We start from the raw sequence: 24,290 nt of genomic DNA, 5'->3' as shown, positions 1-24,290 counted from the left end.
TAATTTGGAACATGCAAAGAATGTGTATCCAAGTTTTATTTAATCCGGAAGTTGTCAAAGCCAGGTCAAAGGAGGCTATGAGACACTGATTTTATATATATTATATATATATATATATATATATATATATATATACACACACACATATACACACATATATACATATAAGTATATATACACAAATATATGTATGTGTTTGTATGTGTATGTGTTTGTATGTATGTATTTGTATATTTTTGTCAACAAAAACCAAGCAAATAAACCAAAAACCAAAAACACAAACTAGACAGATATTACTAAATTGAATACAGACTAGTTAATACCCTACAGGTCAATTAAACCATAACCTTTTTGGTTATTTTCTCTACCTTTATTATCTCATTGGAATAAAATATTTTAACAGAATTTTTAGTATACATTAAAATCAACAAACAACAATAGTTTGGTGAGTGAGTGTGAGGATAATTTATAATTATATTAAAGAATTTAAAAATCCCTGGTGAAGGAATTTACCTAAACTTGAATAAGAACAAAGATTGAGTTTGAAGGGTAGTTTGGGTAGAATATGATTGTAGACTACCAGTGAGCTTCTTGTAAACACATGCATATCATAGCAATAAAATAACTGTGCAATCAGGGAACTGTAACTGTGAACCAGGGATCAACTTTTCAATCCCAAAGCTTTGCCTTGCTAACAAAAGGAGCAAATGCTGAAGATTTTTGATACATTAAATGATTAGGCAGAGATATGTCAAAGTCAAGGAAAGCCAATAAAATGTAAAGATAAAGAGCAGTCAGTTTGTAATCTTGTAGGTGTCAGCTAAGGGGTCAAGAGTATTTGCAAAAATACAGATGTTTTGTCATAATGAATTAGCCTAAAAAATAGTTCTGACTAGTAAAGACTTGGGGCAGAGAACAAACTCTGAGGATATCCCTTCCATATAACCTTCAGCTGGAATATTATTGTCGCCATTGACTAAAATGCATTAGCCCTTTTCTATCAAACTTGCACTGTTTGTGAAAAATTTACAATTTTTTTTTCTGATCCACTCTGGTCCACTGAGGCACATAGAAGAATGAAAAACCTTGAGAATTAAGATAACAAAACACATTGCTTTTCTAAAAAACTTAGTAACAGCACAAGAAATCCAGTTTTCTTCCATTCTTGCCAGTGGTCACTGGTCAGGGACAAATTCCTTAATTATAGGATGAGTAAACTATATGGATGCCTCAGTCTCCTCTAGCTCTAAAAGTCTATGAATTCAATCAGGCTAATATATTAGGAATTATTTCTAGCTAAATTAAAACAAAATGTCCCACATTTGAGTGAGATTATGAAACAGTAAAAGCAATGCTACTGTTTTCTGAAATAAAATCACCAGAAAGAGAAATTGAGTTCAGAAGGATAAAGTTAGTTGACAAAGGCTAAAAATAAATTACCTTATATATTTTGTTAATAATAAATCAGTATGCCATTGGACATGTCACTCATATAATGGCATTTAAAAGTCTTCATAAACAAACATAGTGTTTGTACCACTTCCAGCTGAAGTACAAAACATGTAAATCCCTCAAGGAATGGAAAAAACAATGCTCCTAAAGATGTCAGAAAGACATCAATTCAAAATTCTGCTATGACGTAATGATACCTTCCAGGGATGCTTTAAAATCATGCTTTAAAACCCTGAAGTGTATCCAGTGACACTCAGCTGGATGCCATCATGCTTGCAAATGCATACAAAGGCCCTTGAGTATTTACTGGGCTATGGGCTACTCTGATGCCTCCTCTACACTCAGGGCCATCCCATTGGCCTTGCAACAATTAAGAATGAGGAAGATCTGTATCCAGAAAAGGGAGCCCTGGAGAACAGAAAGGAAGAATGGTCTAGAAGAGCATTGTGGAGTGGTTCTCTCATCTTCTCAGGTTCGGATCCCTTTATCTATTAGCTTCTAAAAACCTACTTTTAAGGAGACATTCTGGGTTGACTCTCTTGTTTCAGGTACATGGGAAAAGATGTTTTCAGTTCATATTTCTCCAGCAACAGCAAAATGTTTTGAACGCACCCTGGAGCTAGGGTATTCCTTACTGGTGGTTACCAATGAACACGTTTTTACTGAGGGTGCATCTCTATGTGTCAAGGGTTGGAAATAACCAAGGATGTGTCCATCAGAGCATTGCCTTTCAAGAACTTAAAAACATGGCACATAAAATTCATCCTTGATTCCTGTTGCTGATCAGTTCAGGTTTCTATTCATTTAGTGTAGTTCTTAGTGCATATAACACGAAAGAGTTTGGAGTTGCAGCCCATGCAATCAGTTAGTGGACACACTAATTTCATGTTGGCCAGATAGGAACCTTCTTGGGGATGTAAATTTCAGGACTCTTCTGAAAGAAGCAATTCATTTTGATCCAGCTCTGCTCCAGTTTCCTTTCTACCATTCTGCTGCCCAAGTCTGGTTGAAGATGAAGAAAAATCAGTCAGCGTTGATTGCCGATGGGCTAAGTTTAGAAGGAAGGAGTAGGGAGGGGCTGAATGTCTCCAGTGTGTGGAGTCACCAAGGGGAGCTAAGAAGCCACCTGTGTGATTTGCTCTTGATGTGCAGATACCACTTCAGGAGACAAGAATAGGAAAAACAACATGGTCGAGAAGCCAAGGGTTATCTGCTAAATTTAGAATTATTCTATGGCTGCCATCCAGCACCACTTTTACTAGGATGGTTAATAGAAACACGCTTCCTCATGTCTCCTTACTTAGAAGCAAACACCTTCAAATCTTTTAGCAGAAGCTTTTGGTATTTACTTCTGTATCTCAAAATAATACGCATGTATTGCTATTTTTGACTTACCACCATGAAAGATGAGAATATTGCTCTTTCTTATCTCTACTCCTGTAGCACATGTATACATTACTCTCATTCTTTCAGAGACAGTAATACTATAATTTAGTTACAGTGTTCAGTCTTTATGTTATCATGACTACACAGTGTGTTCAGGGTTGAGTCATACAGTAACCTAACAATTATTTTTATCTTCATGCACAATTTTTTAAAATTTTCCCTATAGTTAATTATCTTGTTTTATCATTTGCTTAATTTTTTGCATATATCTCCAGTCCAACTCCAAAGTATCCCCCGGTTAGCTAAATGTTTTTGCAATATGTACAAATATAACAAGTGTTCTCTTGGTTAGATTCTCTTGAAGTCTTTTCTGGAGCCTTTTATCTGCTCCAATCTAGATTGATTAATTTCTGTTTTCTTCACTTCTATTCTGTGCTAAATCTCTTTTATTTATGCCATGTCTTCCCCTTTAATTGTTAATTTTTTAATTTTAGTTAGAGCACATTGGTCAGTAGCTTCCAGAGAAAGCATTCATGAATGTTAAGTTTCTTGAGGCTTGCATGTCTAAAAATGACTTCTTTACACCTGCACACTTGATTGCTAGTTTTGCTGGACACAGTATTTTGGGTTGGATTTTTTTTTAAAAGATTTTTGTGGGAAAAATTTGCTCCACTGTCTTTTAGCTCTGTTAAGAGGTTTGAAGACTTTGTGATTCACCATCCTAAAAACAGGTGTGTGGCCTGTTTTGTTTTGGTTTTTGTCCCTCTGGCAATTTCTAGCACTTTTGGTCCCCGTTTCTTAAAATTTCACAATGATGTGCTTTGGCATAGGTTTATCTATCCCCTATGCTGGGCACTCTTTGAAACCTTTCAGTCTGAAAGCTGTTGTCTTGTTTGGAAAAAAACATGAATTATTATGATAATTTCCTCTGTTTTTTCATTCTGGAATATTATTTGTCCGGATTTTAAACTTTGTTTTGAGACTGAGTTTCGCTCTTGTTGCCCAGGCTGGAGTGCAATGGTGCGATCTCGGCTTACCACAACCTCCACCTCCAGGTGGAGGTGATCAAGCGATCCTCCTGCCTCAGCCTCCCAAGTAGCTGGGATTACAGGCATGCACCACCATACCCCACCCGGCTAATTTTGTATTTTTAGTAGAGATGGGGTTTCTCTGTGTTGGTCAAGCTGGTCTCAAACTCCCGACCTCAGGTGATCCACCCACCTCAGCCTCCCAAATTGCTGGGATTACAGGCCTGAGCCAACATGCCTGACCGGATTTTAAACTTTTATACATTTTCTCTCCAATCTTCCATCTAATTTTTTTGCTTTACTCTCTAAAAGATTTCCTCAATTGTATTTCCACCTTTTTTTGGAGTGCTTTGTTTTTGTGTTTAACAGCCAGTTTATGTTCTCTGACATTTATTGAAAAAATTAGCATTCTGTTCTTTTTCATGGACATAATATATTTGGTTATTTTTCTATGGACATTAATGATATGTGTATACTTAACGAATTCTCACTATATAGTCATTATTTCCTACAAAGTTACTTTTTTCCCTGCTTTTTCCTGTTTTTAAGGAAGTTTTCCTCATATGTCTAGTAACACTTAATTATCTGTTCATATTTCAAGTTGGCAGACTAAAAAGCTGATTGGATTTCTGGATGTGTTTGCTGTGCTTGAAAAGTATGAGAGTTGGTAAGGCATCACTGCAGAGGGATCTTCCTTTGTATCTTTCGGAGTAATCCCTAATATTGATATCTTTAGGTCTTTCCTCTTAGGCAGATTAGATTCTTGGGAGAACTTCTATCTAATCTCTTGCCAGGATAGAGTGAAGGCCTGGATGCCAGCATTCTAGAGCAAGATTGGAGAAGAATGCAGGAGGTCTCAGCATTTTTTCATATGCTTACAATTACTTTATCTTCTTGCTTTCAAAATGGTACTCTTTCTCTCTTTCTTTCTTTCTTTCTTCTCTTTCTTTCTTTCTTTCTTTGTCTCTCTTTCTTCTTTCTTTTTCTCTCTTCTTGAGACAGAGTCTTGCTCTGTCACACAGGCTGGAGTGCAGTGGTGTTATCTTGCCTCACTGCAACCTCTGCCTCCTGGGTTCAAGTGATTCCCCTGCCTCAGCCTCCTGAGTAGCAGGGACTATAGGCACATGCCACCACGCCCGGCTAATTTTTGTATTTTTCGTAGAGACAGGGTTTCACCAGGCTGGTCTCTAACACCTGACTTCAGGTGATCCGCCTGTTTAAGCCTCCCAAAGTGTTGGCATCGCAGGCGGGAGCCGCCGCGCCCGGCCTGTAGCCTGCTTTCATCTGGGCTTTGTGTCATCCTCACACTCTCTGTTTTCCTGACTCCAAAGAATAAATACATAAATAGTCCCTCTAAGGTGGGAGTTCTGATTGTTCCTTAAGTAGCTGTCAACTCTCCTCTTTGTTTTATGCCTTATCTTGAATCCCACTTCCAGAGGAAACAAACATCATCAATTTCTGAGACTTTTAAGGTTTTTTATAAAATAACTTGGATTGGTTCCAGGTTTTCACACGGATGATCAATGATCAGGTTCTCAGATCTGTCAACTGCTGTAAACATATAGCCAGATACCTAAATTATGTAATGGTCATTTCTTATCTATTATCCCTCACCCTTGCCAGATTATGCCCTTAAAAGTCTCTTTTAATGGAGTTTTGGTGTGGTTTCAAGAAAGTTCAGTTAGTTGAATATGTTCAATCTACCATATTTATCCTGAAGTTCCATGGTTCTACTATACCATACTGCAGATATTTTTGTTGATTAAGTTTAAAAGTCAGATCTTACGTTCCTTATCTTTGATCTTGTATTTGTAGGTAATGGTGAATCAGATGGGAAGAGCAGAAGGTCTTCTGCTTTGCCTGGCTGGGACTTATCATGGGATTCCCTGGCTTTCTTTATATTTTTTCTAATGAGAAGTATGCAGTGACTAATCTCTTACCACAGATGGCACCATATGGATGATCTGTCAGGTTCTCCTTGCTATATCTTCTCCCAGGTAGAGTGCCATCAGAGCCACAGAGGAAGCTTGAGCTCCCAGGTACTTATTAGGTGGGAAATAGCTTGGATATCTTGGCTTCTCTTGCCAATCTCACAAGGCCGCTTTTGTGGAACAGGTGCGGTGGTGCGTGCAAGAAGCAGTCAACTCCCTACGTTTCTAAAGGAGTGAACATTGAGTCAAGCTGACCTTTGATTTTCTGAGTGCTGGTGACTTGTCCAACTCCCGTCATGGTGGTCATCAGATATGTTGATACTTGATTCAATCGCCAGGAAATTATGTCCAGATTTGTAATTCTGTACCCTAAGTCTGTCATGTAAAGTTGCAATTTGAATTCAAAACACTGCCATAGAAATTATACCATCAAATCTAAAAAAAATAAGGAGACTTCTAGAACTAAATTCTAAGGTGATAAAATAAATCATGTGTTCAATCCTGTCATATTTGAGAGTTGACATATTTCCTCCTTTATCCTTCACCAGTCCCTCTTACTCTTTTCCAAAACAAGCAGCAACAAAGCATTTGACCTTTTGCTTTAGGGAAGAAAGGGATGGCAGAGAAAGAAGAATGAAAAGGTACATTCTTCTGCTTGGTCCTGAGGACATTCTCATACCGAGGCTTCCTTGTCCTCAAGTCTAGGAGAAACCGCAGACAAGCCTGATGTCCTGAAGAGAGAAGCTCTGTGGCTCCTTTCCCAGAAGGTGTTCCAGAAAGTTGCTGCTGGTATTCCCAAGCAGCCAGAACCTATTGAAGCAGAAGTGTCTAAGTAGATGGGCCTGAGCCTTAGAGAGTTCCTCCTCGGTCCACTCAAGGGTGGCAAAGATGGAGCTGAGTCTGTGGTTATGAAAAGGATGGTCAATGACCAAGACCAGAAAAGAATGAGGTAATGCAGCGCTACCAGCTTGGACCAGATTCCCTCTCTGATGCCCAGGCACTAGGGAAGGCTCTTAGTGCTTAGCCACCACTCTAGGTTATTTCAAAATAGAAATTGAGAGTGAGAGAGAGAGACTTGTTTTGAGTGCACTGAGAGTCTCCTCAAATATTACCACAACATGAAGTCTTTCTTGAGTAGCCCATACAAATAGCAATCTCTCCTGCTGGCACTCCTGTCTCATATGCTGTTTATATTTCTCCATAGCATTTATCACCATCTGTCATTGTACTAATAGATATATTTGCTGGTATGCTAGTTTTGGTCTCTTCATCCAGGGATTGTGAGTTTCATGAGGATGGAGTGTCTTAGTTTGTGTTTCCCTTGAAGGAAATGAGACAAAACATGTACTTGAAGGTGATCCCATTTAAGGGGGGAGGGAGCTGGAGTATTTATACCAAGTCCCATCAGTCACTGTTTGAGGACTGCTTCCGGGGGATAATTCCCCAATACTCTTTGGCCAACTGCGCCCTTGGGAAGAGGGGGCTCTGGCAGCTAAAGAGAGCTGTCAGCAAAGAGATGCAGGCACTCAGTGGGAAGTCCAGCAGACAGGCAGTGTTTCTCTAGTTCACTGCTGATCTTTAGAACTCACAACAGTGCCTGGCTTGTAAATGCTCAACAAATATTAATTGAAAAAATGATTATTTTGTCCCCAAATATTAACATTTATGTATTAATTTATATTGTGAGTGGTTTTGTGCTTCATCTTGGCAACCAGATATCTCAAACGATATTGTATCATAGACAACTAAAAACGGCAATTCCAAATTCAGCCGTAAATGACACTACAAAGGAAGGACTAAGAAGAAAACATCGAAGAAATGCAATGAACAGCTCACAGAACAGAACCAAGAGGCCTCGCTGGCACTGACTAACGGTACCCTGAAGTCCAACAAATATGCGGAAGAAAGACAGGGATTTGGGGGGCTGAGTCCTAACAAAGTCTTAGAGAGATTGAAAGTTTTATCCTTACACCCTACCTCTGCCTAGAAGAAGTGCTAACCAGACAGCATTAAATGCTCAAAGCTATCAAAATAGACTGGAAAAGGGGACTAGAATAATTCAGAATAAGCCAAATCAATCCTTAAGTGACAGCAGAGTTGGCTGTACTTCAAGGTATTGCACATTGCGAGCCACCTGCTCCATCAGTGCCATCTCTTCTTAGCTTCCGAATTTGCTCAGCCCTGGTAGAATTTCCTATTAGGTTCACAAGTAAAGTATCTGAAATAATTTAATAGGCTCTCACTTTCCACTGAGTTCATGAATGTGACTTTATTTATTTATTTATTTATTTATTTATTTATTTATTTATTTTTGGGATGGACTCTGGCTCTGTCGCCCAGGCTGGAGTGCAGTGGCACGATCTCGGCTCACTGCAACCTCTGCCTCCCAGGTTCAAGCGATTCTCCTGCCTCAGCCTCCTGAGTAGCTGGGATTACAGGCGCGCATCACCATGCTAGGCTAATTTTTATATTTTTAGTAGAGATAGGGCTTCACCATGTTGGCCAGGCTGATCTTGAACTCCTGATCTCAAGTTATCCACCCACCTCAACCTCCCAAAGTGCTGGGATTACAGATGTGAGCCACCGTGCCCAGCTGAATGTAACTTTAAATAAGGTCTGGTAACACAAGCTGATGCCCCTCATTTAACTGAAATTTCTGAGCTCAGTAGCAAGTCCTCAGCACGTAATTCTCTCATTACACTTTGCATGAGCTCTGTGAATCAGGGCAAGAAAAAAGTACATAGGGCATAGTCAAAAACTAATCCCTAAATACAACTCATGGCACATTGCTAAGGTCTCTGGAAGGGCCCCCACTGAGGCTCTTCCCTGCTCGGTATGCATATCTGGATGGTTAGCTAGGAAATGCCCACATCATGGCATCAAAGAACTAGCATGGAACTGCTCCTGAGCTAGTCCCAAAAGCAGTTTAAGGCAGCAGTAGCCAAGTGCTAAAGGAAAAAGGATCAAGGAAAGAACATGTGGCAGGCCATGCTTACACATGCAGTACTAAAAAAAAAAAAAAAAAGAGTATAACAGGAAAGTGCAAGGAAGAAGAGAGCCTTAGAAGAGTTTCATGATTTAAAATATTTCCAGCATATTGTTTAACAATCTTTTATGATATGCTACTTGCTATATGCAAGTATTAACTCATTTTATCCTCACAGTAACTCTGTAAGTGGGTACTTTTATGACTATTTTATAGATGGGAAACCTGAGGCAAGTAGCTTGCTCAAGGTTTGTGCCCAAGCAAAGATAAGGTTGCTCAAGGTTATACAATTCATAAGTGAGTAAGTTGGGATTTGAGCCCAGGCAGTCAGTCTTTGTGTTTCATGCCATTAAACATGATGCTATGCTGCTTGCTGTAGACATCACACATCATCTAGTGATAGAAGAAGGTAAATAACAATAATTATCATAATAATGGGAGCTACTATTACTGAGCATTGACCACATGCCAGGCATAGAAATCCTATGAGAGACGTACTTTTAAATTACCATTTTCAGTTGAGTACACGGAGGCTTAGAGATGTTAGCAACTTGTCTGAGGGCACGGGGTTATTTGGTGTGAAATGGATCTGGATATCATGCCTGGGCAATGGAAAGACAGATAGTGGTGGGTGTGGTTGATGGTGCTTATCCACATAACTTTCCTAACACTGGCCTGGATAGGGGGCATGGATGATGGGAAGGAAAGGTATCCTGCCTTCTTGGCAGTTGGCTTCAATCTGGGCACTCTGCATTGGTCCTAAAAATAATCCTAAATGTGACCAAGGCAGAGTTTTCCCATGATTTACTTATCTCTCTAAAACGTGTTACTTTAATCTTTCTGTGTAAAGAAGCTGAGCTCCGGTGGACAAATGACCCATCTGGCAGAGGCGTGAGGATTAGCTCTTTGATTTGAATTTGTCTATCAAGGTCCAAATTCTTTTCCCGACTTAATTTACATTCTAATCTCTGCAAGTAATTTAAAGATGTCCTCTAGCATTTTTATCCCTCAACCCATGAATCTGATTTTTAGGAAGAAAAATGAAATATAACAGAAAACTTGTCATGCCAACATGAGGACAAGAGAAATGCTGAACACAAGAAGTGACATTGTTTTGTGGGCTTTGCAAAAAATATGCAGGTTAGCTTTAAAAAATAAAAACAGCTAAACACATGCAAATAACATCTTCAGAGCTCTGCAGCACAGAAAAATCTACAAATTTTGCCTTGGAAGACAGATGGCCCATAAATCCACGTAGAATAATCACAGTCAAGATGGGAAAACTGGACAATGTGTCTGCCAGCTTGCATGGACACCAGCCTCCTTCTACTGTGCCAAATGCCAATTAGGCAGGATCTGGCACTCAGATGTTTGGATGTCACTGGGATTAGGTGGTTGAGAATCCATTCATCATTGCTCAATCTTCACTCTTAATGCAATAATACCAGAGCATACTGGAAAGCTACCAGCCCAGTGGTTTAGCACCTCCTTAAATCACTTCTAAGCACAGCACTGAAAAGCAATTTCTCGGCTCACGTTTTTTCCTGGTGCTTTGGCCCTTGCGAATTCTGCTAGATCAGCTCAGAGAAAGTAAGTGCAGATGGCATTAATATCCCATGGCTCACCAAAGTCTATTTGCCTATTTTAAGAAATAATCTAAATGTTCCCTTCTCAGTTATCTTTGCCCGGGCACAAACTTTCCTATCACACTGGCCAGCTAACTGTGCTTTTGTACATTACATGAACTTCACTGGCTTCTTTCATTATTTTACCATTTTTCCCCTAAATCTGGAGTCAGTATGTTCTGCACCTGTTTTCATGTGTTATTATTTTATCTTAAGTTGAAAAGTGTCATATATTGTTATTCCATCTTGATTGCAAAAACTGTGCTATTACCATAACTATGTGCAAATACAGCTCCAAGATATGGTGTGATAATGGCCCCTAAATGGCTATGTACTCTTCTCAAAAGCTCCTGCAGATTAGCTCTTCACGCAGTGCTCACAGCTTTCTGTGTGCTTGCAGTTTCCCTGTATTAAGTTGTACTATTTGATGTGGTTTTGTGTGAAAATTCTCAATAATAACACCTTACTTTGATTTAGCACTTTCCGTTTTTCAAAGTATTCTCACATCTGTGAGTTTATTTACTCCTCATCATTCTATTTGGTAGGCAGAAGACAGTTTTATTATTTAACATGACAGATAAGCAAAGTTGTCCCAAGAGAGATTAAATAGCCCCTTTAAAATGACATAGAAAGATAAGAACAGAATCCAGATTAGAACCTGTCTCTCTTAAGTACAGCTTTAGAGCTGTGTTTGGAACATGGATTTGTATAAGTACTGATTTATCATTTAAAATTAGAGGTTCTCAGAGGGTAGGAAACCAATTCCATTGCCTTTTATGAGTACACTGTCACAGTGCTTTATGAGAGGAGACCCTCCACAGTGGTTCCTGACCGTAATGCAAGGGAGGAAAAATGTTCTAGCTCCTTCACCAGAATGTTATGTTCCTTGATCAAATTGGACATTGGCGTTGTATGAGCAAGGACCATGGCCTTCACTTTATTTACATCTCTTCCATAGTCTAGCATAAATGCAGACCCAGAACATAATTATGTTCTCATTAATGCTTTCTGATGAGCTACTTAAAACATGTTATCTTTTAGTGCCCTAAGTGCCTCTTGTCTCTCATTTGGCCCTCTGCTCTGCAGCATAAAGCACAGCATGGAATGCCAGTTTCCTCTTCAGATGCCTTCAGCACATCCTTCCCCACTGTACTGACTACAGAGGAGGTTCTACTACATTGAGAGCCCAGATAGGTGAAGAATGGTGCCTTTTCATTGTCTTACTCAAGGGTTGACACAGGTAGCAAGACTCAAAAAACTGTGTGCTGAGTAAATAAACCAACGAGTAAGTCAAGAATAGCATGAAGGCTTCCATTCAGGTCACAAATGTTACATTTTTAGACTTACCTCTCAACTCATTCCCAAACAGTATAACAAGTCAAATGTCTGGACCATCCAAAGACTCGCTTTCCTCATTGTAAAATGGGAATAATAATATGCACTTGAAGACTTGTCTGAGGTTTTGTACAAGAAATAGAAAAGCTGAAAAATGTACCATGGCAATTTGCAGGTAAAGAGCTTAGAGCAATTCCGGAAACTCCCCACAATGTCAATAAACAAAACTTTCCTTTTCCTTCAAGCTTCCCTCGCACATAGTTATTCAATAGATATTTGCTAGATGAATGAATGGAAGTATATTTACGAATGAATGAATATTAGCTAGATGAAGAAATGGAAGTGAATCACATTATAACTTGTTTTATAATTATTTGTGATATTAGAATTTTCTCCTTGTAATTATAGGCTCCTTGAGAGCAAATATCTTATCTGGATTTTGTTCCCCTTTCTAGCAGTTCATAAGTTAGATGGGTAATACATGATTGTTAAAGTGTCCACGCAACTGCATTAGGTATATGTTAGAATAAAGAAATGCGTTCAATAAGCATCAGGTACTTTGAAGGATCTCTTTTTTGATATGCTGGAGATTCTTGTTAAAGCTGCAAAGTGAGGTGGGAATATCCTTTTTATAGTATCGTGAATAGTGTTTTGCTGGTAATAATATCATAGCAGACTGTACTGGTGCTCCAGGAGATACAGCTGGGCTGGACTTGTATCTGCATCTCTGCCTGATGGCTGACTTTATGTGGTGCAGGCTGGAAAGGCCTAAGAATTAACACTTTCTAAGAGCATCCTCCAACAATGGCTGTGGTTGGGAATGACTGCCTTGACAACACATTTTTTTGTAAGCTGCTTTCTCTTCCTCGTTCACACTCCCTACTGCCCTACTAGTACTTCCTGGAATCACCTTCCAAACTCTATGGACTTGAATCTTCTTTCAAAGTTGGCTTCTGGGAAAACCCTCAACAAAGACATATAGCCACATTGTTCAGAAGCATTTTTTGGGCTCATTTTCTACATATAAGGTAGAATGCTTAGGTAAGAAGCTTGATTTTGTCCATCATTCTCAATTAACTCTCCTGTTAAAATAATGCTATCCCTAGCTTGGAGATAATCTTTGCTGTCACAGCTGGCATCCTAGAGACTGTAGTGATTCAGAGTTAAGACAGACCTTCCAGAATCTCCATAAGAGATTTTTGAAATCCTTGGTCACTGTCCACTTCCTGGCAGGATTCCCTACTATGGTACATTTTTCAGCTTTTCTATTAAGGGTTAGGGTGGAAGGTCCATCCCTCACTTAATCTGGTTTCCCTGTGGTTTGCTTTTTTTTTTTCTGCATTCGACCTATTTCCCTCCCACTTATCTGTTGTATCACATTGACTATTGACAAGACCCTGGATAATGCCGAAGTTAGGAGCCAAACGCCTGTGGCCTCTCTCCCTCCCAACACAGTACAACCTGCCAGGCAGTTTTGACTGAGCCAGAGTCCCCTCCACCCCACCCCACACGCACTGCAACCTGCTCCTAGACCCTGCTGACAAGGGGAAAGCTATACTAGCCAACAATTGTCAATGCTGTGTTCTGCTGGGAGGTCACATCTAGGGGGAAAGAAGCCATTCTCTGCTCTGTCCCAATAGCTCTCCCATGAAATGGCAAGGCACCTCTGAAAGGTGTGATGAAGGAAAGAAGTTTTAACAAGACTCAGCAGACTATGGGGTTGATGAGGCTACCAAGCTCACTTATCTATCCTGTGGACTGGCATTTGATTTTGCCTTTTACTGTTTATATTTTTCCTGTCTGGTTATTTTCTGAACAAAGGACATTTCAGCTGTGAGTAGACAGGGCTGTGACTTTCTGGCCAGAGCTGTGGGCCTGAGCAGACACTGAGGTCACTGAAATAAAGGAGAAAAGAAACAGAATTCCTAGGCCAGGCCTTTGCCTTTCCTCAGGCCCAGGCCCTGCCTTCTGGGAATAAAGGAAATGTAATAACGGAAAGGAAAGCAAAGGGAGTTGCCAAGTCAACCAATGAACAATAGATCCACAATGACGATCTTGAAAAATTTTTTTTTCATTCTTAGGCAATCTGAAATATTTCAGAGAAGTCTATGAACATACCAAACATGAAGTTAAGAAGAACTTGGAATGCACTCAGGGACGACAATGCCATTTTTCTGTAACCTTCCGCAGAGGTTAGAGAGTCAATAGGAGGAATTTAAATGAGATTTCGATCAATAAAATCCTAGAGTAGCTTTTCAGCAGCTTTTTCAGTGTAGTAACTTAATTAAGGCATGAAAGCATTGGCTACATCATATAGTTTTCCTCTGTTTTTGTCTTTTGGGAGAAAATTGATCTTATTTGTGTTGACTTTGTTGATTCACGTCGGTTCTGTTTCCTCAACTACTTTGTAGGTAATCTATATAAAATGACTTAAATGGATGCCACCTTAATTGTGAGGCAGATCTTTAAACTAGTCAGTATTTCCTTCAGAGGAGTGGTTTTTAAACTGAGTATCCTGAATATCCCTGGGTTTGGGCAGACATCCCTGCAGAGAATGGGGTAGGTCAGGAGGAGAAAGAGTGATAGGGCAACAGCCACCATCACCTGTACTCCAGGCTCCCCTCTATTCCACCAAGACAGCACCTTTAAAGCTTTTCCCTACACATTGGCCTTTCTCACGAGACTTTGTTAGAAGAAACAAACAAAGGGTGCTATGTCTAGGACCAGCTTGGAAACCACTGCTATAGACATCGATCACTAACTTCTAAATGGTCTGTGTTGCAACTTTTTTCTAAGCAAGTCCTGTTGGAGTGCCTAGGTGGATGTCTGGAGTAGCGGGACAAAGAAAACATGGTCTTGGTCCCAACATTGCCATTTCTGCAAACTGCCTCTTCTAATAAACTGACAGTTTGACTAAGCTAAATGGCTAAGTCCTTTGTAGACTGGAAATCTATGATTGGAGGCCACTGGCCAGGGCTTCGTGATTGGAAACAACGAAGACAATAACGTGATAGGTTGGCAGGAATGATGAGGCACAGCCTCTTTCCATTTTTTTTTCTCTCAATGCTCAGCAACTCTGACCTTACCCATCTTTCACTTTTGATTCCCTTAAGGCCATTTATAGAAAAGTGCTTGTCTTAGTTTGGGTTCTTCCAAAAACAGGATCTGAGACAAGGATTTGAGTGCAAGCACCTTTTTTGGGAGTTGACCCTATGAAACAACAGTAGAGAAGAGAAGTGAGACAAGAAGGAAAGGCAGCTAAGAAGGAGAAGGGTATCAGGCAGGTTACAGCTGTGGGCAGTTAGGGCTCAGTCTCACCGAGGAACTCTGGGAGAAAGCAGAGAACACACATCAGAACTTTGCAACCCAAGGGGCATGGAAGATAAGGTATTTATTCTTCAACTACTCCTGAGGCATGCAGTCCCTGGGAATTGTAGCCTGGCTGTGGATGGACTGATAGAAGGCCCTGAAGAGTTGCCAAGTGTGTAGGTGGCTGGGTTGGAACCATGATTGCCAAGGGACATGGGAATAGCACAGGTGTCTGCTACATTGCTGGTCTCATCCCATTTTACAGATGAAGAACCTGAAGCTCACACAAGTCAAGTCTCTTGCCTGAGGTTTACTGGCTTCATCATGACACTATGCCAGCCTATTTCTTTAATTAGGGCATGTTTGATCTTTCAAGGATGGAGAATAGAGATTATAATCATCACCATCATTAGTTTTTATAACTTCTACCTAGTAAAGCGAAATGGTGCTGGAAAAATATGATTCAAAAAATTTACTAGGAAATTGAAGTGATAATGAAGTAAATAGTAAGAGTCAAGTGTACATCCTTACACTTATGACTATAATTATAATTCCATTTTAATAAAAAGGTATAGAAAAGAATGATTGAGTCAGAAAGGACCATTTGTGCACAGATGTGACATGCCATATTTTTTTCAAGTTTCATTAATAAATTATTATACTTATCCTTAATTGCAGTACATTAAATAAGGCTGTTAGATGAGAAACAGCAATGTTCAGGAATGCCTCAGCCCAAGGCTCTGAGTCTCACTTCTAGACTCATAAATGTTTTAAAATAATTTGGCATAAATGCCAATGATCACTTTTCATTAGTTCAGGTAAATGACAATTTAGCCAACAACAATAAATATATGTAACCTCTTTAACAAAAGCATCTTATTTAATTCTTCCAGTAATTCTGTCAGGAAATAATTTCAAAGTTGAGAAAACTAGGGAGCAGGGCTAGTCAAAGAAGTTAAATGGCTTTATAAGGCCAAATAAAAAGTCATAATGAATGAATGATTTCTGAACTAGTTTTAGTGTGATCTACTCTTTTCATTTGCCAAGAGACCACTATTCCTTCCTTTAGGAAGCACATCCTGGTTGAATTTTAGGGAACCATCTCTCTCCAATTGTCGGTCCGTGTGGTTTGTGCTTTAGGTAGTTGACCCCTTATGGGCTCTAGGGGGAGTCATATGACTTAAGCCTGTCCATTTATTTTTATCCCATCCTTCAGGACACTGTGATTCTAATTTAGAAGTGGCCTTGAGTGACCGAAGCCATGCCCTGGATTCTGGGACTTTCACAGGAACCATGAGTAAAAAGGATTTCTGTATACTAGGACTGGTGAGCTATAGGCTTGGCGCTGCTGGTGGCTGTCTTATCATTCAGGAAAATCTGCCCAAGAACTAGAGCCAGTATGAGAAAATGATGAGAGATGAAAAAAGACAATTATCGATAACATGACTTGAGCTCCTGGATATAGTCATGCCTGAAACCATTAACACCTTGACTTTTTGCTTATATGCACAAGCAAATTTATTCAGTGCTTTAGTTTGAGTTAAGTTTCTGCCGTTTTTCAACTGAAGGAGTCTCAACTAAAACTACAGTTTTCAAGTTTCCCAAGTCCAGTCTCTTTCTATCACTCTCAGCCTATTTCTTGGTGTTGACAGTGAGAGAATATAGCTTAATTGTATAATACTTTAAATAAAACTATATTGAAAATGCAATAGGGTTTTTTTTTCCTACTGATACAATCATTATTGGCTTAGGTCTATTTAAAGGAAAAAAAGCTAAAGCACTTGCTGTATCTGAACTTTGCCTAAAACCAAATTGCTTCGCCATTATAATCTTGAGTTCATTTCAACTATTAAACTATTAACTCAGCGAGTAGTGATCACTAAAAGGGATTATAGAGCTTCATTTTTATGACTTAATTACAACAAAGTGGGGACGCTTTTGTATAGTATACCTTATAAAAATTTAGGAGGAAGAACTGATGATAAAAGGAATGTAGTTTGAAACATCTGCTATTATAATCTGCTACATTAATTCAATTATTTAACAAACACTCATGAACACCTGATCTCCACAGAATAAAAGCATGAAAAAAATTACTGCTTTCTTTTGGTTTGGCAGTTTATTTAAGTAAAATTTGGACTTCATTTATAGATATATCAGTTGAAGTCTGCATTCTGTTACCAAAGGTACCTATAGAGCTATTCTATTTTTCATGCTAATTTTACTCACTGTCTTTCATCTGAAGAGTTTAAGTGATAAAAAATAACTGTTTTGGAGACACTGATCTTGAAAGTACGATATTCATGAACATTTTGTTTGGAAGAGGCAGGGGTCATTGCATATTCCTGTGCCAGGAATATTTAAGTCTACAGTGCAAACAAGATGGAAAGGAAAAAACTTTTGCTGACCAGAGGCCATGGCATTTTTCAATGTGTAATTTTTAAATAGTAAAAATAAACCACACTCCCAGGAGAATAGTATCCTCTGTGACAAGCTTCAAATTCTCTCTTTCTGGAACCCACATACATGACCCATTTGGCCTTAGACTGCACAGAAATCCTCTGATTATTTATAACCAATATACACATCTCCCAAAACAGAAATTCCAGCATGGAGATGTGGCTGACATGCTAATTACAGCAGGTCCTCAGAAGATCAAAGTCTATTGTCTCTTCTGGAGTTTCATTTCATACTTCCATGTGTCACACTTTTAGTCAGCTAAACTATGGTCGGCTTTGGCATTTGGGCTTTTGGTGACACTAAAAATTTTTCATTTAATTTCAAGTCTATCTTTTATGTAAAAATTATGTAAAATGTACATAAAAGCTAAACAGCATATGTCAGGTTTGTATATTATTTATTTGCTTAACACCTACTTTAAGATATGTTTATTGATATCAGAGACTGTGTGTGTGTCTCTGTGTATGTGTATACACACACAACTATATGTTGTGTGTATATCTATGTTGTGTGTATATATATGTTATATATATGTTTATATTCTATTATGTATATTATGTGTGTATCTTATGCTTAGCATTTTATAACAAGTATAGGCTATATGGAAGTGCCTTTCTCAGGTAAATAAGACTCAATTTCCACATCAGCACTGAGATCAACACCAATTTAACTAACACCTGGGCACATCTGAAAACAGTTAAAATGAAAGCAGCAGAAGAATAAATTATAATGTAATACTAAACTTCCCTACTTATTTTCTTATGTGTTTATTGATCCAAATGTATTAACTACTTGACTAAAAGTTTAAAGTTTTAAAGTCTGTAGCTCATCTGTGTTAAAATCAATTCAGCCCAAATGTTATCTCTTCCATGAACTGTCCCCTACAGGAAGAAATCTCATTATCTTCATGCTTAATGCGCCTTCTCTTTACTTCTTAGAGCTTTGCTACTCGGTGTGGGCCTTTGCTAAGCATCTTCTGCCTCACCCAGTAACTTGTTAGAAATGCAGGATCTCGAATCTGCATTTTAACAACGGCTCAGGTGATTCAGGTGCACGTTGGATTTCAAGAAGTAATATTTATATATTATATTAATTATAGATATTAGATTATTAATATATTTAGATATTATGTTAATAATATATATTGTAATTATATGATAAATAATTATATATTACACATAATTATAAAAAATTATATATTATACATAATTATATAATAAAAAATTATATATATATTATACATAATTATATAATAATTATACATAACACATAATTATATAATAAATAATTATATATTATACATAATTATATAATAAATAATTATATATTATACATAATTATATAATAAATAATTACATATTATACATAATTATATAATAAATAATTACATATTATACATAATTATATAATAAATAATTATATACATAATTATATAATAAATACTTATGTATAGAATTATATAATAAATAATTATATATAGAATTATATAATAATTATATATAATATAGAATTATATAATAAATAATTATATATAATATAGAATTAGATAATAAATAATTATATTTAATATAGAATTAGATAATAAATAATATATAATTATATATAATTATATAATTATTTATTATATAACTGTATAATAAATATAATAAATATATAATTATATATAATTATATAATAAATAATTGTATATTATATATAATTATATAATAAATAATTATATAATTATATATAATTATATAATAAATAATTATATAATTATATATATATACACTTTTAAGAGGAGTGCAAATCTCTAGGGGCACAGGGTTTATCTCTGGGTCTGTCACTGTGTGTAGCCTCTTGCCTTTCACTGAAGATTTATTAAATACTGAAGTTATGAATTACTTAACGTAGGTTGGCTTGTAAGTTTGAGTTTGTAAGACTAGAACACCAGAGACTGTGTGCTTCCTCTAGTACTATTTGGCCTGCTTTAAACAGTGTTAATAACAATTTAGGCCATTTACTGAATGACTAGTGTGCGCTGAACTAAACATAAACAGGCACAATCTCCCTTTATCCTAAAACAAGGCAGCTATCATGAGTCCGTTTTTGTGTACATGCCTTAAAGCTGAAGTGACCCTACTAAGGTCTTTGTAATTTGACTTTTAACTCCTCAAGAGTTGAATTTCTTTCATATGGATTCTAGAGAAGAAGGAGCTACAAATACAGCCAGCCAGAACTTCTGAACGGGTGCTGGAGTCCCCTGGGGTGACTGAGGATGCACGTTATACGGTAGCAGGTGGCTGGCCCTTTAGCCATATTCTAGCCGTTGGACTCCAAAGCCTCTGTCCTTCCCACGTGCTAGATAAGGCTTTAGGTAGAGACAGCATTAGCCAAAATTTTTCTGTACAGAGACCACTAGGCAATATTCTTAAGTGATAAGTTGGGGCACAAATGCTTTGGGTCACTGATTAGATCACAACTACAAGTCTACATTAAGGATTTCATCATGAGCAGGTGCATCTTCTAGGTGCTGGGGAAAACAGAAGAAAGTTTAAGGCCCAGAAATCATGGGATCTCCTAGAAAAAATGGACAACGACACCTGAGGAATGAAAACCAACATACTACACTTCAAAACATTGAGAAGAGTTAACACTTATTTATCACATTACACAGGCCCAGATTCTTCTTTCCAAATGCTTTGCAGGTATTATTTAATTCAAATCTATGAAAAGCGTATCAAGAATTCTTCTGTCCTTAATTTTGAAGATGAAATAATTAAGGCATAGAGAAGTTAAGCATAAGGCTATGAAACTAGTGAGGTGGATCTCAGCTTTGAAACTCAAAAGTGGAACCATTATTCTATGTTGCTTCTTTATACTGCTATTAAGGTTGACACAGAGGTTTTGTGATCAATGTCATATTAAGGTATAGAAAAACAGATAAAGTTGCCTTTAAAAATATTTAAATTTTTAAATATTTTGTGTGCCTCTTTCGATTTGAAATTCATAAAATGGCACTAAATAATTTTGCAAATGCTAGGAGACATCATCTTAATTTCCATTAGAATCAAAATCAGTTTTTCTAGGATTATGGGGTTTTACAGTAATCTATCACAATTTTTTCTCTTTGTACCCTCTACATCGTGCAAGTCATCAGAGGATGATGTATGGAGGCATTGGATACCAGCTGAAGCCTGTGCCATCAGCAGTGTGGTGTGAAGGAAGGAGAAAAGGAAAAGGCTTACACTTTGGAGTGCTTCACTGGTTTCAGAAAAGCTTTTTGTTTTCCTAGTGTCGTGGGCTAACTGATTTTTAGAAGTGTTGTTGGATTTGTTATAACAATGTGTTCGTTATTTTTGGAGAAGTTTGGATTTTAGAAGAGAACTCCTAAGCTACATGGGCAAAACCTCCAAGATGTTCCCTGCTTCATGATAAGGGGAAATCTCATCTCTTGTGTACTAGGGAAGGAAGGGCAACCTATTTAAGTAGGTTTGGAGGGGCAGGCCTGGCCATGCCAAGACATACTGTTGGGCTAGTTGTTTCCTTTAACTAATCTCACCTTCACAGCATCAGTGAAAATGATAACAACAACAAAGGCAAAGTTCTTCACCAAGAAAACAAATGAAAACTAAAAAATTGCATCTAAAAATTCCCAACTAGTAGCATGTAGAATATGATTAATAGATTTTTAGATTTTACATTTATACTTCTTCTTCTTCTTTTTTTTTTTTTTTTTGAGACAGAGTCTTCCTCTGTCACCCAGGCTGGAGGGCAGTGGTGTAATCTCGGCTCACTGCAACCTCTGCCTCCTGGGTTAAAGCAATTCTCCTACCTCAGTCTTTTGAGTAGCCGGGACTACAGGCATGCGCCATCATGCCAGACTAATTTTTGTATTTTTAATAGAGACAGGATTTCGCCATGTTGGCCAGGCTGATCTTGAACTCCTGACCTAAAGTGATCCACCCGCCTTGGCCTCCCAAAGTGTTGGGATTACAGACGTGAGCCACAGTGCCTGGGCCCATTTATACTTCATGATTTCATTTTCAATTTAGAGGACCAGTTCCAGATTAAACACAATGGATTAAAAGACTTTTAAATTTACTTTTATGATAATCATTCTTATTGATGACCATAAGCTTGCTAGAGCTATTTCTGTTACTTTAGAAAATGCCTGCATATTAATATATAATTGATTTCTTTTCAATAATTGGTTAATTGTACTTTATTTTCCTCCCTATGGAATATCTAGGCAATCTGCAATAACATCAGTGATAACACACTAATTTTCTTGGTGAAGATATTTCAATCCAGATGAGAGTTAGTCTTCTCAGTGGAAGATCTTGTTCAGGGACAGTGCTGCCACATATAGTTGAAAATTTGCAGTAATTACATCTTCATGATCTTATTTTGGCAATTCATTTTCCCAGAATCAAAAATATAAATTTCTTAAAAACTTCCAGGTAACTTAGAGCTGTCTTTGGGCTATCAATTTTTGGATTGTTTTGTATTTACAACACTAGGCTTTTTTACACAGACAGCCAAATTTTAGACTATTTCCCCAAGTAGAAAAATTTATCAGATAGTATTTATCAGATAGTATATACTGGAAAAAGATAAGGGTCTCACAGACTAAATATTCCCTTCAGTTTTAGAACGTTAGAAAAACTTGTGGGCCACTTCACAGAACTTACTAGAAAAAGACAAAAGGGTAACCTAAAGATAGTGATTTCCTGTATGAAATATGCATTCAGTCACTGCGTGAATTTGAAACAAAATAAAGGATTAGACATTTTAAAAATATGTTACATGCATCTATACATATAACAACAATGACAAAAAAATCACACACCAAAGTTTAAAGAAAAACCTAGTGCACTGAACCACCAAGTGATTTCAGACCGAAAGGAATGCCTTGTAAACAGAGGAAACTAACCTAACGATCACTGGTGTTCCTAACTCCCAGCGTGTGACTACCCCCAATCAGAAACAAGAGCTTCCCTTTGGTGTGAAAGAAAGTACTGACCTTTTCTGGCGAGGCTGTTGTTGGGTTCATACTTCTCAATCAATACTTGGACTTGCTCTTGTTTTAGAGGTGGATAAAGTATTTCATTAAGCCGAGGATCTCGCTGCTTAAGGTTGATAAAATCCATCATCTGATCAACGGTAAGATATGGTTTGCTTTTTGCACCACTAAAAACAATGAAAAACCAAGCAATAAGAATTTTTTAAACTAAGTTTCATTCTAATATTTGCATTTAACTCTAGGGAAATAAAATCTTATACTTGATAAGAAAATGCTATATTGAAACTCCTATCTTGCCCTGAAAACACTGTGCTTCTCCACCATAATTTCTATACCTCTATGGGCTACAAATATCTTGTGCAATTGCTACCGCTAAAACCCAATGCTCTTGCAAAATACCAAATGGGTAAGAAAACCCACAGTGGGAAAACACTGCATCATGTGCATAAGGGTGCACCACTCTAAACCGAACACAGAGGTTTTTTTATTATGACAGTAAATTTTTGATTTAATCATCCAACTCCATATATCTGTAATCATTTAAAGATGTATTTATTGTCATTACTTAAAGTAAACAACCCGTTTGAGTGTTTTTAAAAGTTACAGTTAGGCTTCAACAAGAGAGTATAATTCCTCAACATATTGTTCAAACTTCCCATTTCAATTGTATTGACCATCTAAAGACAAATTCAGTGGTACAAATGTTGCAGATGTTCAGTAAATATATGATGGCAATGAACAGCACAAAGCAAGAATATGCAATGTCATTTTCAGCAGTACTGTTTACCTGTCTTCCATTTGAAGAAATCCTTATTTTGTTTACCACATTTTGTATTGATTTTCTGTCATGTGGATTTCAGTATTTTAAGAAAGGTAAACTGCTACTTTCCCCACATTTGCCTTAGTGCTTTGGTTTCTTTCTTTTTTTTCCTTTTTTCTTCTAATCTTTCAAAAAAAGGTAATGCCTTGATATAAGTTTATAATTTCTAACAGAAAAGCAAATAATTCTTCAGCTGAGAGGGTTCTTAGTAATCCAAACTTCTCATGTCGCTAATGTGGCTCAGAGAGATAAAATAACTGGTTCCCAATCCAGAGTTCTTCCTGCGACATGAGTCTATTTCTGCTAAGCCAAGATGACTCCCTGTTCTACCCATAATCCTTCAACCATACAAAGTTATCTGAGCATACAAAAACAACTACCTCCAGCAATATATCACAGCAAACTTGTACTCATTAAAAGCAGTGGTTGCACCTCAGGGGCAAGATTGTGTGATCCTATCCAAAACATCACACAGGAATATTGCTTTTAGACACAGTGTATGATGTTCTTCCATCTCCAATTACCACTCCAAGTCCTGCTCTAGCCACCTGAGAATCAATGCAAGCTGAAAAAGATATGGCTTAAAATGTGTACTCTTACAATTCTGAAAAGATGTTATCAATTTCAGGTCGAGGGCAAAGGTTGTTGAGGAAAACTCTGTACACTTCTGGAGTGAAATCTTCTTGAGGTATTGAATCATTCTGGGAAATAAAACAACGGAGTCAGCAAATGGTCTTTTTCCTTCCCCAGCTTCCTCCCTCCCTGTTTTTTCTCTGTCTTCTTTTCTCTCCTTTCTTTTCTTCCCCCCTTCCCTCACCTTCTCCCTCTCTCTTTCCTTTCTTTTTCCTTTTCTTCTAGGAGGTCAGGGTAAACATTCATAACACACCTATGAGGTCAACCGTAGCGTTCATTTGGACACTGGCTTTAGGGTGTCAAACCCTTTTTTCTGTGGC

General features: G+C 37.6%; 1 protein-coding gene across 2 annotated transcripts in view; it reads right to left on the bottom strand.

The window, feature by feature from the left end:
* Positions 1-24,290, bottom strand: part of PLCB1 (phospholipase C beta 1) — a 752,635-nt gene that overhangs the window by 203,679 nt on the left and 524,666 nt on the right. For both annotated transcript variants that reach the window (NM_182734.3, NM_015192.4), the window contains exons 8-9: positions 23,938-24,038; positions 22,518-22,684 (exon numbers count right to left, since the gene is read on the bottom strand). In NM_182734.3, coding sequence (NP_877398.1) covers positions 22,518-22,684; positions 23,938-24,038 — 268 coding nt within the window. The remainder of the gene's footprint in view (positions 1-22,517; positions 22,685-23,937; positions 24,039-24,290) is intronic.

The sequence above is a fragment of the Homo sapiens genome, chromosome 20 (genome assembly GCF_000001405.40).
Source record: "Homo sapiens chromosome 20, GRCh38.p14 Primary Assembly".
Taxonomy (NCBI): domain Eukaryota; kingdom Metazoa; phylum Chordata; class Mammalia; order Primates; family Hominidae; genus Homo; species Homo sapiens.
The sequence above is the reverse complement of the archived record's forward strand: the minus strand, read 5'-3'. Positions and strand labels throughout refer to the sequence as shown.